This window comes from Homo sapiens, chromosome 2 (assembly GCF_000001405.40).
Source record: "Homo sapiens chromosome 2, GRCh38.p14 Primary Assembly".
In the NCBI taxonomy this organism is placed as follows: domain Eukaryota; kingdom Metazoa; phylum Chordata; class Mammalia; order Primates; family Hominidae; genus Homo; species Homo sapiens.
The window spans coordinates 164,889,384-164,905,306 of record NC_000002.12 but is presented as its reverse complement, the minus strand read 5'-3'; the positions used below and the strand labels follow the sequence as shown (position 1 = coordinate 164,905,306).

The 15,923-nt window shown below is 35.9% G+C and overlaps 1 protein-coding gene and 1 pseudogene across 6 annotated transcripts in view; both read left to right on the top strand.

The window, feature by feature from the left end:
• SLC38A11 (solute carrier family 38 member 11) overlaps positions 1 to 10,953 on the top strand; it is a 61,172-nt gene extending 50,219 nt beyond the window's left edge. For all 6 annotated transcript variants that reach the window (NM_001351540.2, NM_001351539.2, NM_173512.3 and 3 more), the window contains one exon: positions 6,577 to 10,953. In NM_001351540.2, the coding sequence (NP_001338469.1) occupies positions 6,577 to 6,870 (294 nt within the window). In that variant the 3' untranslated portion in view covers positions 6,871 to 10,953. The remainder of the gene's footprint in view (positions 1 to 6,576) is intronic.
• RNA5SP111 (RNA, 5S ribosomal pseudogene 111) lies at positions 9,530 to 9,630 on the top strand (annotated as a pseudogene).
• Positions 10,954 to 15,923: the final 4,970 nt, after the last annotated feature.

Genomic DNA, 15,923 nt, shown 5'->3' with positions numbered 1-15,923 from the left:
ATACCAAAAAAAAGAGAAAATATTAGCTGGGTGTGGTGGCACATGCCTGTAGTCCCAACCACTCGGGAGGCTGAGACAGGAGAATTGCTTGAACCCAGGAGGCGGAAGTTGCAGTGAGCCAAGATTGCGCCAGTGCACTCTAGCCTGGGTGACAAAGCAAGACTCCATCTCAAAAAATAAAAAAAAAGAATAATAATAATAATAATGTGAGCTACCATGTATTGAGTACTTACTCTGTACCAGGTGCTTTGCAGTATCATCTCCTTTTATCTATATTAAATTGACAGATGAAGAAACTGAGGCACTGCATGATTAAATACTCTGAGGTCATACTAGTTACAAGTAAAAAAATACAGATTTGAACACAGGCATTTGGACCCTAAAGCTCACATTTTAAATCATTACACTACTCTGAGATTTCCTAAGCATAAGATTTTAAATTATGTAAAATAATTATGCTCATTTCTCTATCCACTTTCTTAGGTTATAAAATCTATGCATTGAGTTTATCTGTAAGAAAGGTTAAGAGTAATCTATGATACATATGGATAGACTTTAATAATGGGTTAAAACATACCAGGAGATGAAATAAAATGGAACTGAAAAGTTTTTGTCTTAATAATTTTTAGTTAATAACTTTCATCTTAGTAATTGTAGTAATTTAGAAATGTAGTTAATAGCTTTTATCTTAGATAACAATTTTAGTACTTTAGGAATTCTTTTTTATTTTAGCTTCTGAATAAGTAGAATAATGAGCTTCACAGATGAGATGAATCAGATCATGCAAGGTTAGGGAAATGCTACTATTTAGTATCACCAAATAATATAGAATAAAATGAATTGAGGTAATAGTTATTGAATTAAAAAATAGAACCTTGCTTTCCTTTTTTTTTCTTGTTTTCATGTCAGTAGACAACAATGAAATATTTTTCCAAAGCAAACACACACTAAGTTTTAAAGGTTTCATTTTAGAAGCAAATCAAATAAATATAAGCACTATTCTTGGTAACAAGAATCCAGCGTCTTAGCACTAATGTTGCTATTGGAGAAAAGAGGCATCTGCAGTAATTGGGCCCTATGGGTTTCTACTCGCAGCAGTACAAAGAGAGAAAATGAAGCAGCTGGTGCCTGTGCCAGCATAACCAGCTCAACAAGCATTGTGTGTGGTTTACAGTGGAAGGAAGAAAGCAAGCCAAATGCCAGCAAGAGCCCAGATAAAGAAATACAGTCTTTGGGGTGAGCAAGCCATAATCCCAGTTGCCAAAGACTTCCTGAGCAAGAGAGAGTTTCTTTTTGAAGTATTGGAGTGAATTTCATGAGTTTAGATTAATTACAAAGTAGAAATTTAAAAGATGTATAAGCATTATTTTATTTAGTTTCCAGCTTCCTTGCATCATTTGAGAAATTTCTATTCAGGTAGGAAAATTCAGGCACTTTTTCAATCTGTACTGGCAATAAAAATGTTCAATAGCTTCTGTCCTTTCTCTCCAGCAAACTGCAAAATACTCTGACATCCACAGTGTTATTATCAATTAATAAGAACTGTCCCATCTTTATAACTTAGACTATATTTTGTTGTCTTTTTAATAAGCAGTTATGATTTTACATCCTGTCAAGCAATTTCAAAAATTATTCCAAAGCCAGTGGTGTATCCTTAAGCAAGTCTACATTAAATAGATCAAATCAGCTCGACTAATTCATAGGGAATAGATCAGATGCAACCACACTATTATTTTACTGATGATCTTGACTTCTAGCAACAACCTTTAGTAAGACTGAGCTTTTAAATATCAAGAAAGTAGCTGGTATCTAAACAAGATACTCAACTGGAATCCTTCCAGTAGAAATATGAGCTATATAGTCTTTCCTCTAATTGCTACTTTCTCAACACTTAAGAATTATAACATAAATAGAACACCCATTGCTTTGCACTGCCCAGCAAGTTAAGTTTGGAAGAGTACCAAAAGGCTGACTGATGACAGCTTCTTAGCAGAAGCTGGGGGCAGTTTTCATCCTGATAGTACTTCCACAATCTGCAGTTCCAGATGAATTAGCCACATGTTTGTGACTACAAAGAGAAGACTACAACACACACAGACACATACACACACACACACACACATTTGTATTTGAATTACTGTTTGTTGTTTTCACAAATTGTTATTTTAAAGAAATCAGAGGCTAATAGTTTTTGTTATAAATACAGACCAATTGTTAACAGTATCTTCCATAACTTAAAAAGCACTGTTAATTCCAAATATTATGATAGAATCTATGGAATCCATAATATATTTCATTCTAGTCATATGACAACTAATCTTTTATTTTTTGTGTACCTTTGTAGATATTAATTTGTATTCAGGTGCTATGAATGGCAAAAGTATATTTTCCATATATTCTAAATTAGAACATGATTTTGGTATTTTTAAGTATTTTCTCATTCTTATGTTTCTTACTTTGGAAATATTTTCCATGCAGTGTGGTCCCTACTATTCTTTCTCTGGACACTTTTGTTTTTGTAAAAATTCAAAAAGTTACATAATTGGGATCATAGTCATAATATTTCTGGTATGGAGAGATTGCTTTGTATAAAACACACAGTAATTTTATTAACTGGTGTGAGAATATATTTATTTTAAAGCTATTTTAAAGGTACAATTTATAATTTTACATCATCCAACTTCAAATTTATTTTGCTGTTATTTTCCCAGGAGAAAATTTACCAAAATAATGTGTCAAAAAGCTTTTAAACCATAGGTGATAGTTGCATAGGATTTCATTATACTATTCTTTCTACTTTTGTGTATGCTTGCAAATTAACTTTTAAATTTAGAAAAACATAGTTTATGAAAAGCTTGCATTTAGTTGTAAAGTAATATTACATTTGTTACTGATTTTATATATTAAAAACTTACATTTTATTATTTCAGAGAACAACATTTGTGAAATGTCATAATAAGAGAATGAAAACTAAAACCACATGAACAGCTGGGTGCGGTGGCTCACACCTGTAATCTCAGCACTTTGGGAGGCTAAGGCGAGAGGATCACTTGAGCTCAGGAGTTTGAGACCAGCTGGGGCAACATAGTGATCCCTCGTCTCTGCAAAAAATTACCCAGACATGGTAGCATGTGCCTGTAGTCTCAACAACTCAGGATGCTGAGGTGGGAGGATCACTTGAGCTTGGGAGATCAAAGCTGAACTGTGATAATGCTAGTGCACTCTAGCCTAGGAAACAGAGTGAGACCCTGTCTCCAAAAAAAAAAAAAAAAAGAGAGAGAAAACAAAAAACACATGATTATCTCAACTGATGCAGAAAAAGAATTTGACAAAGTTTAGCATCATTTCTTGATAGAAACTCTTTTAACAGTTTAGAGAGAGAAAAGTCCTCAACATAATAAAGGCTATTTATGAAAAACCTACAGCTAACATCACAATTAATAGGAAACAACTGAAGGCTTTTCTCCTAAGATCCAATAAAAGGTAAGGATACCCACTCTCGCCACTTCTCTTCAACATAGTACTGGAAGTACTAGCAAGAGCAATCAGACAACAAAAAGAAATAAAAGGCATCCAAATTGGAAAAGAAGAAGTAAAGTTATTTCTATTTGCCGATGACATGATTCTATATGTGGAAAATCCCAAAGCTTCCAAAAATAGTGTTAGAACTAATAAATTAATTCAGTAAAGTTGCAGGATATAAAACCAACATACAAAAATCAGTAGCATTTTTATACACAAATAATAACCTAGCTGAAAAAGAAATCAAGAAAACAATATCATTTATGATAGCATCAAAAAATACTCTGGAATAAATTTAACCAAAGAGGTGAAAAATTTGTATACTGAAAACTATAAAATCTTGCTGAAGGAAATTGAAAAAGACACAAATAAATGGAACATATAAATAAATGGAAAGATATCCTGTGGATGGAATTAATATTGTTAAAATGGCCATACTACCCAAAGCAATATACAAATTCAACATAATTCCTATCAAAATTCTAACGGCATTCTTCACAGAAATAGAAAAAACAATCAGTATTGAAAAGAAAAATAAAGTTGAAGGCATCACACTTTCTGATTTCAAATGATATTACAAAGCTGCAGTAATCAAAACGGTATGATACTGGCATAAAAACACAAATATAGACCGATGGAACATAAAAGAGAGCCAAGAAATAAATCCAAACATATAGGGTCAACTAATTTTCTACAAGATCACCAAGAGGACACAATGGGGAAAGGATAGTCTTCAATAATGATGCTGGGAAAAATGGATTCTCAAATGCAAAAGAGTGAAATTGGACCCTGATCTTACACCATACACAAAAATCAATTCCAAATGGATAAGATACCTAAATGTAAGGCCCAAAACTGTAAAATTCCTAGAAGAGAACATAGAATAAAAGCTCCTTGACATTAGCCTTGGAAATGATTTTTTTGAATATCACACTAAAAGCTCAGACTATAAAACTAAAAATAAATAAATAGGACTACATCAAACTAAAAGGCCTCTGCAGTGGGGAGGGGGTGCAGGGCGGGAAGAAAAGACAACGTACAGATTGGGAAAAAATATTTGCAAACCATCTAACTGATAAAGGGTCACTACAAAAAGTTTACAAATAATTCTAATAACTCAATAGCAGAAAAATGATTAACTTGATTAAAAAATGGGCAAAGGACCTTAGCAGATATTTCTCCAAAGAAGACATGAAAATGGCCAACAGGTATACGAAAAAGTGCTCAACATCATTAATCATCAGGAAAATGCAAATTAAAACCACTAGGCGATATCACTTCATACCCTTTAGGATGGCTATGATCAAAAAGACCAGAAATAACAAATGTTGACAGAAGTGTGGAGAAAAGGGAACCCTAGTACATTGCTGGTGGGAATGTACATTGGAATAGTCAATATGGGAAACAGAATGGAGGTTCCTAAAGAAATTAAAAATAGAACCATTATATGACCCAGGAATCTCTATTCTGGGTATATACTCAAAAAAGATGAAATCACCACCTCATAAAGATATCTGCACTCCCATGTTCATTGAAGCATTATTCACAATAGTGAAGAGATAGAAACAACCTCAGTGTTCATTGATGTATGAATGGATACAGAGAATGTCATATAGATCTGTCTGTAACATGGAATATTATTCAGCCTTGAAAAAGGAGATCCTGCCATTAGCCACAACATGGATAGACCTGAAGAACGTTAAGTGAAATAAGCCAGACACATAAAGCAAAATATTACATGATCTCTCTTATATATGGAATATTTTTTTAAATGCCTAATATATAGAGTTAGAGATAAGAGAATAAAACTGTGATTACCAGGGGCAGGAAACAAAGGGAGGAAATGTAGAGAGGTAGGTCAAAGAATTCAAAGTAGCAGATATGTAGGATGAACAAGTCTACAGATTTAATGTACAATATGAGGGCTGTAATTTATAAATTGTATTATATTTGGGACTTTTGTTAAATAAGTAGATATTAGTTGCTCTCATCACCAAAGAAGTAATTATGTGAGATGAATAGATATGTTAGTTCAATACAATAACCATTTTACTATCTGTATGTATTCTATGACATCAGGTTATAAACCTCAAATATACACAATAAAATTTATTTTTTAAAAACGTATGTTTTATGGTTTAAGAGAATATTTGTCATAAAATTTTAATGTATGTTACATTGTTAAATATACTATAATTAAAATCTAACGTAATTAGAAAAACATATTACCTAAAATGCATTAAATGTTAACATTTATATTATTTGCTAAGTTTCTATTGCGAATTAGTCCTATTCAAGGGGAAAGTCTCTTCCTTTGACATCAATAGCTGTTGGTATTTTTATAATAGACAATTCTACCACCATTATTTTAAATCTGACATTCCTCCTTAGGTTGGGTTTATTCCTAGCTAATGTGGGGAAGGGTGAATGAGTAATAGTCATTTAGCTCTGCTGTCAACTTTCTCAGTAATTAATGTGCTTACTTTTATTTGAAAGAGGATTTAGAAATGCTATTTCATGTTAACTGCCTTAGGGTTATAGTTTTTCTTTCTCACACAGATAGGCACATCTTCCATACAAGCTCAGGTAAAGAAGACAGACATTGTGGCCCCTATACAATTTCCCAAAATTTCCTTCTTATACACAAATGACAAATAGACCATTCATGTTTGAAGGGCATAGTGGATACACAATAGTTTTAGTGAAGAATATAAGGAAATATGATGAACTGAAAATACAGGAAATTTCAAGAGTGCCAGAAGTCAGTCCTATTATCTGCTTTATTTTCTATATTATTTTGTGATAATATTTTCTTAAGTCTGAAAAGCTGTTATACTATTTCATTATTTTCATTTGTAAATATGCCAGTGGAAAAGGTAATGCCTATTTCTAAGTCTTTCTTAGAACTATTTTTCCTCCCTTTGTTTGATTCAACTGAACCTATCACATGTTTAACATGTGCATGAAAAACACATTTTGTAAATGCTTTTAAAAGCTGTCCGAAGAATGTTTCCATCTAGTGACATTATCTTGTTTCTTGTTTTCAACATGCAGGGTGTGCTCTGTGCAACTCCCCTCATTTTTATCATTCCATCAGCCTGTTATCTGAAACTGTCTGAAGAACCAAGGACACACTCCGATAAGATTATGTCTTGTGTCATGCTTCCCATTGGTGCTGTGGTGATGGTTTTTGGATTCGTCATGGCTATTACAAATACTCAAGACTGCACCCATGGGCAGGAAATGTTCTACTGCTTTCCTGACAATTTCTCTCTCACAAATACCTCAGAGTCTCATGTTCAGCAGACAACACAACTTTCTACTTTAAATATTAGTATCTTTCAATGAGTTGACTGCTTTAAAAATATGTATGTTTTCATAGACTTTAAAACACATAACATTTACGCTTGCTTTAGTCTGTATTTATGTTATATAAAATTATTATTTTGGCTTTTATCAAGACTTGGCTTTTATGAGTAGTGCAATATAAAAGATAAAGAAAAGAAAAATTGAATGTATTTCACCTTTAACTGGAACAAAATAAGGGTTTTGTTCTAATGACTGCACTACACTAATGCTAATTGAAGAAGGGAGAGTTAAGCCTTTAGCATTTTCTGCCATCCCCCTTTTATTTAATATGCAAACCAGTATATTGTGCTCCAAAATAAGTAGGTGATTGTGGGTTGGAATTTTGTGTAGATGTCTTTTGGTGGGGGGGTGTGGGGGGTGGGCATTTTCTTTGTCCTTAAAAGTCTGTGGAACTGAAGAGAAGGGAAACCCAAAACGATTGAAAAGAAGACATATCCCAAGAACAAAGAGGAGCTCTCCGTTATAATTTCAGCAGCATCCTTTGTTTAAAGGGAAATGGATCCCTGGAGAAATGAGCAAAGACCTCTCCATGTGAGGAATCCTGAATCATAGACTGGCTGTGAGGAGCAAGGTGTGTAAAGAATCAAAATCACCTCCCATCTTCTGATGCTGTGGGAATACAATGGTAGCACCATTCTAAAACAGAAAAACAAACAAACAAACAAAAAAAACAAAAACAAAAAACAGTTGTTCTGTGGCAAGAACCTAAGAGATTGGTGATATGGACCTGTTGGATTTTTAGTGCTGTCAGGAATGTACAACTGGAAGCTGAACTTTGAAACTAGAAACGTGTAAGAAGAATCAGGGCTACAGAAGAAGCTTTCTCAGTCCACTGGGGGTTCCTCAGAGAGATTTCTGGGAGCTCTTGTTGACTGGGTCTTTGGGAGCAGATAGTGAGATGGAGTTTATCATAACTAATGGGAGAGAGGGGAAAGCAGGATTGTTAGGGAGAGGTAGAACTGCAGTGCAGGCTGACCTCAGCCAAATCCACAGGGAAGCTGGTGCATACATGACCCATCAGAGTTGTCCCTGTTCAAGGGTAATAGCCCAGTTTTGATACTGCTGCCTCCATCAGTCATTTAATGTGAGCATCTGGAGAAGGATGAGTTCTTGGGCTAGGCAGCTCTTTGCAGCAGAGCAAACCCTAAAGGAACTGAGAGCTCGAGGTGGTCTACTGATAGCTTTGTCACCACATGCTTCCTTACAGGGGTATCTGGGAGACACAGCTGTGCCCACCACAGATGCCCTCGGTTTACTGAGGATTTTTAAATGATTTTTTAATGAGGACTTTGTGTCTTTGTATGTATGACAATCTTCAAAAAGTAACATGAAAATCTGGGGCCATCTGGATGGCTTCCTTATATCAAGTATCACCTAAGATTTTCATTTCATTTGTATTCCAATCAGGTTGTCCATCTGTGGCACTATATTAATTGTTGCCAAATAACGAGAAACTATCACAAGCAGAGTTAATACATATATGATGAGTTTGTACAAATCAAATGCAAAAAGAAATCCTACAGGAAGTGTATAAAGGGTAGGTTCACAGTAGTTTGAATAAAGTGGCAAGAGCTGAGTCACTGTGTGACTCATAGTGAGAAAGGCCTATTGAACATAAAGGAAGATGCATTTTAGCAGGTAGAACCATGCTCAGGGTTTTAGTGGTGATTTATTTTTTCAATAAAATATTATCCTTACCATTAAATTAATTTAAATTCTGTTGGGTAACTTTTCTGTATTTAACTTATAAATTTGTTTTTTTATAGTTAAGGGTCATAGGCTAAGCAGTTTGTGCCTGTTTTTAGATTGGTACATGTTTAGGTAAAATATAATAAAAATGCTTTCATTCCATGTAAGAAATGAGGAAATGTAAGAAATTTTTGCCACAGTCTGTCATTACATTGCTCAAGACTGAGAAACACTGACCTACATAATTATTAAATAAAGTCATGAGGGATGAGATCTCTAAGCATGTACAAAGAAAAGTATGTCAAGGATAACATAATTTAGCACGTAACCATCTCTTATCTTGTACTTTGGTGTTGCTTCATACTCTTCAAGTAGATGAAAGCTCCTGGTAGGAACTGAGCGCAGCATTAGTGCCTAATAAACATGTATTGGTTTATTTATTTTTAATCAGCTGTAGAACAAGACTGCTTATGACCCAGTTATTAGCTGCACGGATTACCGACATCTTTCAAATTATAATTTAATAAATCTTAGGAACTCACATTTATTTTGCAAGAATACTTGTATGCTTATTTTGCCACCATGCATAACTGCAAGAACCCCACCCCTCAATCTATTTTCTGCCTCAGTTCAATAAGAGATTCCCCTGAAAATCTTTCCATCCCTGCCACTTGTTGCCCCTAACAAAGCAACTTGAAGGTTTTAAACCAGTTTTTGAAGCTGTCAATACACTTAAATGTATAAAGCACTTCTTAACTTTAAAAAGGTGGTGGTAGGCAAGAATCACATCTTTACACACAAATGAGAACATCTAGCAATACACTTCCTTTAAGGATATAAGTTGGATAGCATCTGTGTAATTTAGAAATTGAGTCATTGTTCACTTATTATAGAATCTTTATTATCAAAACTAACTTGAACCATCTTCAAACATCAGAATGGGTAAACTGTCTATGACCATACCTTCCTGAACGCACCAGATCTCATCTGATCTTGGAAGCTAAGTATGGTCTGGCCTTGTTAGTACTTGGATGGGAGAAGAAGTAAACTGCCTTGCCTGGACTATTTCCAATGATGCCAAACAATAATTGTTGCCCCTTGTCTTTCTTAAAAGGAGACTGCATCCATTTAACCAAACTAAGAAATTTTCAATTAGTCCTCTGCTGAAGTCATACTATACACATCTACTTAATTAAAGATACATTTATTGAAGAGAACAGGTCTCCTCCTGGTTTATCTGCTATAGCCTTGCTTAGGAAAGGAATAATAGTCTGTCTTTTAATTAGGTGTGGCTATTGATTGGAGCAAATGTTGTCAGGTGGCCCAAGCATGAATCAATGAGTGACCATGAGGTCACCCATCAGTGAGGGTACCCATGAATGCTTTACTAACTGTGGCAAGGATAATAATTTGCTACCTCAATAGAATAAGCGCTTTTAAGAATGTATGCTTATTCTAAAAAATGTGTAAAGAATTTGCCAAGATAGCAGAGCAAATATGTAGAGTGGACCAGAGATGCTGTGACCTAGAGAACACATAGACCAGGAGAGAAAGAAAAGAGCCCAGTCTTTGTCTAGGGTAGTGGCTTTTAAACTTGGACATGTGTCAGAATCACCTGGAGGCCTTGTTGAAACACAGATTGCTGGGCTTCACCCCCACAGTTTCTGATTCAGTACTTGGAGTGGGGCCTCAGAATTTCTATTTCTGAAAAGTTCCCAGGTGATGCTGCTGCTGCTGGTTCAGGGACCACGTTTGAAAAAGGCTGGAAGTTGGACATAAGAAAGTGCCAGATGGAGCCATCTGTTTAGAGGCTGGGACACAATACAAGCAAGATGTAGGAATACCATGCTAGATCTCAGGGAAGAAAATGAGGCTGGAGATGTAGGAGGGAGAGCAATTGGTACATATTAAATGTGTTATCCTTTGCCTCTTTGAAAAATCATCTAGAGACACAGTGAGAAGAGGAGAAACCACGACAATAATATTAGTGAAGAGCAATGACAAAGGACATGGGAGGAGAATTAACAAGGGAGAAAATAGAGATTACAACCCCAAATCAACACAGTTATGCTGGTTAAGCTGCAGGCCTGGTTCTGAGCCTGCCAGCACTCAGGGAAGGTTACCTGAGTTTCATGGCTGCCATTGTGAGAATGAAGAAAATATATCAGTTTCTCAAAAGAACACCAAGTTTTCCAAGGACTAAACTCTCAGCAGAATGGCTTACTTGGAAAATTACATAGGGAACATGAGTAAAACTGGGTTATGAATGATAATGTCATTCAGATAAAGAATTTACATGGTTGTCTTTTGTTAAGACACTTTTTCATTCCATTAATGTTTGCTCATTGATAATAAAGATTATCAATACATTTAGCTTTGGCATTTTTATGATAGAATTCATGTATAGTAATATGTAAATGCTCCATTAAAACAAAAACAAACAAAAAACCGGATTTATTCTGTTCTTCATTTCTAACTCTCATTTGATTCTGGTCCTTACCAAATGATATGATTTGGCTGTGTCCCCATTCAAATCTCATCTTGAACTATAGCTTCCATAATTGCCGTGTGTTGTGGGAGGGACCCAGTGGGAGATAACTGAATCACGGGGGTGGTTCCCCCATACTGTTCTCTTGGTAGTGAATAAGACTCACAAGATCTGATGGTTTTATAAGGGGTTTCTGCTTTCACTTGGCTCTCATTCTTCTCTCATCTGCCACCATGTAAGACATGCCTTTCGCCTTCTGCCATGATTGTGAGGCCTCCCCAGCCACATAGAACCATAACGTGAGTCCATTAAACCTCTTTTTCTTTATAAATTCAACAGCATGACAATAGACTAATACGCTAACTCACACACTAACTAATGTGATGGCTGCTTACCTGAGCATACTGCCTTCAGACTCTTCCTGCCAAGATAATTCATGCATCACTTCAAGAATCTTCTTATTAAACAAATGCTTTGATCACTAATGCTTTCTGACCACTTGCTTGCTCAAAAGCTTTCCATGAAACTCTTGTGCTTGTAGAATGATGTGCTCACTCTGCAGCCTCTACTCAAAGCTTTCCTCATATGTCCTCAACATGCTATTTTGGCCTTATCACTCATGACTGCAGAAGGAACCATTTATTCTAACATAATTAAAACATTTCTTTACCCTAAAAATGCTCTGTACACCTTTAACTTTTACCCCTGAATTCTTACCATTCTTTCATCTGAAATGTCCAATACCCCCATCAAAATTCTATCAATACTCCTGTCTTCCCCATGTGCCATTCCTGACAATTCTAACTGCAAGTTAGTTCTTCCTCCTCTGGAATTCTTGTAATAATGTTATATGAAGGAACCTTGTCCGGCCAACCAGTCTAAAAATTCCTTGAGAACAAAGAGTGTGTCTTAAAGCCTCTTTTTATTCTTCATAGCCATAGCGTGGCACCTTGGAATGTAGTAAATGTGGTAAACACTTAAGTATTTGATGTGAGATTTATGATATAAAAGAGAAGATGGTTAATTGCACCTCTAGCCATACAAATTATGTTATTGGATATTTTCAGCTATAATGATTGTCATTCAGTAAAGTAGCAATTTAATGTGACGTTGTCATTCATCCAACAAGCCGGCTTAGATAATTAAATTCAGTTATTTGTTTTTCTTTACTATGCATAGACCCTTCAGAGAAGTTACTTGAAATATTCTTAAAACCACTCAAGTACACACCAGTCTGCACATATTTTTTTCACTTTTCCGTCGCTAAACATGTACTTGTATTTTTCTTATATGTAAGCTCCTTGACACCTGAGACAATGTCATAGTTTTATTTTTTGCCAGTGTATGCTCATATATCTTACTCATGTAAGATGCTTGATAAACATTTAATGACTTGAATTTATCTAATTTATATGTATTTAATCCCTTTTAATTTATACCCTAGCAGGAAAACCCATATTAATCCCCTTCATTTAATATTATTTCAAAAGAAACAAACAGTCAAAACTTTAAACCCAAATGCATTTATTCTTTAGGTACAATCATCACCTTGCTTAACTTCAGCAGACAGCTCAGTAATTTGATATAGTGCTGAGAAGAAGAGGCAGTTTAGGAACAATTTAAGAAAAACACCTCAAGCTATATCTCAGCTTGCAGTTTAAATTTTCAAAGACTTTGGAAACATATTTCCAAGGAACAGTGACAGCGATATATTTGTCATTTTTTAGATTTTGTTTTGCCAAAGGATAGCAAGACCAGTTCCAGAAAAAGGAATTCAGTTCAGGCTTCTTACAGTCAAGTCCCATCACATAAAAACATTGTTCTTTAAATCTTTAGGTGCTGGAAGATAAAACAATAAAGTATCTTCTAAGAAAAAGTAAAAATTATTTTATTTCAGGAAGGCAGTCTTTGAGTGATTCATGACTTTTCTAACAAAATTTAGCCTTCTTGTAAAGTCTTAAGAATTTTCTAAGCTACAGTTTTTAACTACTGTGTCCCTGTGTGAAAGATGTAGAGTGGAAATTGAGTAATATGACCTTGGGTTTTACGTGCTCTATGTCTCAAAGGATTTCAAAATAAATTTAGATTTTTTTTAAGCTATAAGAATAGACAAGGGAAAGGAAATAAGCTTAAACATTTAGAAAAACAGGGCTTAGAAAATCCTAGGGCTTTGTAGGGGCTACTCAATTGTACAAACATAGTGGGAGATGCTCCATATTCTAGAAGACAGCCTGACCTTTTGAAGTAGACATTTCTTAAAAGAAAATAAGCAATTAAAAAAAATGTTAGCTTCAGGTGGAAAGTTTCCTAGGAACAAACAATTTTATATGTGAAATCTAAATGTCAGCTGTGGACATGCCCGTTCCACAATTCAAAGCCTACTCCATAGTTCCTGCAAATTCTGCTGGCTCTCTTTCTCATATGTCCCTATGCGGCCATAAACCATTGTTCCTCTGTTCCGTATCTATAAAGCTCCATAATATCTTAGATGCAAAATATAATCCTTTCATCGTTTCCATAAAAATCCACTGACATCATGCAGTGTGTAAATGTTTTGATATTGTTGTTGCATCTCTTGGAGATTTAGAATGGTTGCAAGGAAGGGTCACATCCCAGAGGACGGCCTTCCACCAGTTCTCAGACTTCCCTGTCTGAGCTCCTCCTCTCCTCCTCTCATTTTTCATCTCCTTTTCCGAATTAACAAGGAATATTTCCCTCTAACTTCCTCAGGGAGGTCCCAGCACCTCCAGACTTCTAGGAGACCCACTATACTCCCTCAAAAAACAAATAAACAAACAAACAAAAACCTTTACCCCACACCTTATCATTGTTTTAATCCCAACACAAATGCTAATAGCTTTCTAAAAAAAAGTTGCGGCTGGGCAAGTTGGCTCACGCCTGTAATCCCAACATTTTGGGAGGCCGAGGCAGGCAGATCACCTGAGGTCAGGAGTTTGAGACCAGCCTGGCCAACGTCGTGAAACCTCATCTCTACTAAAAATACAAAAATTAGCCAGGCGTGGTGGTGGGCGCCTATAATCCCAGGTACTCAGGAGGCTGAGGCAGGAGAATCCCTTGAACCCGGGAGGTGGAGGTTTTGGTGAGCTGAGATCATGCCACTGCACTCCAGCCTGGGCAACAGAGTGAGACTCCATCTCAAAAAATAATAATAATAATAATCACATGGAAGCTATCAATACAAATATGTTTTCCATTCCCTTACACGTATGTACTCTGTCATTTATATTCTGAATTACGTTTCCGGTCACTTTGTTCTCCATGAAAAGAGAAGCCCAGAAAACTTCTGCCTTGCATAAAACTAAAACTTGGGTTAATGGCTTTAAATAGAACCCGTCCCATCCAGATGGGTAACAGGGTTGACAAGCTCCCACTGTGGTTTCCTGACGCAGTAAAGCCACATGGCTTAAAGCTGTGCTCCCACAGATCTATTGAGCTTATCTTTAGCCAGTGTTATTTTTCACCCCAACGCTGTACTGTTCTCCAAACAACAGCTGTGTGTCTGCCTACTTCGTTTGCCCTCTGGATAAATCTAGCCTTTTAGAATTAGATTAGAGCAGGCCCAGCTGTAGTGGGTGGATAATCATCTGCTTTATGAGTGAGGGGAATTTGACAAGCCTACTTGTTTTCTCAAATATCATCTATGGAATGATACTATGGTGTCTGACACATTGTTGACGGCTTTTTAGTATTTAAAGTAGGGATATACATTAACACTAGAGCATAATTAGAGGATCTAGATGAAGAATTAGAAAGTGTAATTCTAAGAGAATGAGAATGCTGCCCTCCCAACTTCTCTCTACTTTCCTAAATTCCAGTAGAGTGGAATTTAGATTCTGCCCAAATACCTCCTACTCTAAGAGGTTTCCCCAGCCTTCACCAGGAGACAATAACTTTTTTTCCTCTGTAACCTGTGAGTATATGCCTTAATAGAAGGAGTCATTCATTATAAATAAGAACTTTCTAACAATTAGAGCTGACCAGTGTTGGCACAAACTACCCTGGGTCTTAATGAACCCTCTGTTCCTGGAACAAATTAAACAAAGGTTTGACAAACAATTGCCCACAATGTGCTGGATAAGAACTGAACTTGATGATTTTTAAGTTCTCCTCTCATGCAGAGTTTCTAGGTACTGCCTTGTATTTTCTGTTAAAATAAAATACAGCTGTTATGGAACACCTTTAATATTTACTTTTGCATGTCTTTTATAGAGAGAGACCATTCATTTCTTTTCCATGTTTAGACCACCTTGTACAAAAGAAGTGTTCAAGAAAATGGATGGATTGGACAATGCCAGATGATTTTTGAAAGGGGCTTAAGAAAGGGAAGGGAGGACAAGCTGGAGACAATAAAGCAGATATACAGCAGTGCCATGAAACACCAGATTTCCAGCATTTAGGACTCCAGGAAGCATGGGAGTTCATAGGAGGGACCCTACAACAACTTCATGTTTATTTTACCACCGGGTCTATCCATGTGCTAGAATTTTTGTTGCCACTGCTGAGAAGCATGCAAGACTTGCTATTCTCTTCCTTCTTGTCATAATTCCTGCTTTCTTACTTAAGGAAAGGATCATTTGCAGGAAACATTAAACAAACTGTTTAATAATTGTGGCAAATAGATCCACAAATTCTGTAATTGCTCCATTTGAATGGAGAAGATTTTCTAAATGCAGAACGAACCCTAACCACAGATAAAAACAAATGCATCAAACCCATACTGGGTGCACAAATGTGCGGCATCTACTGGTGATTAAGAGATGGGAGGTGGTTGTACTGCTTTATCCCAAAAAGTATAATCTGTGGACCAAAAGTGCTGGCATGATCTGGGGTCTCT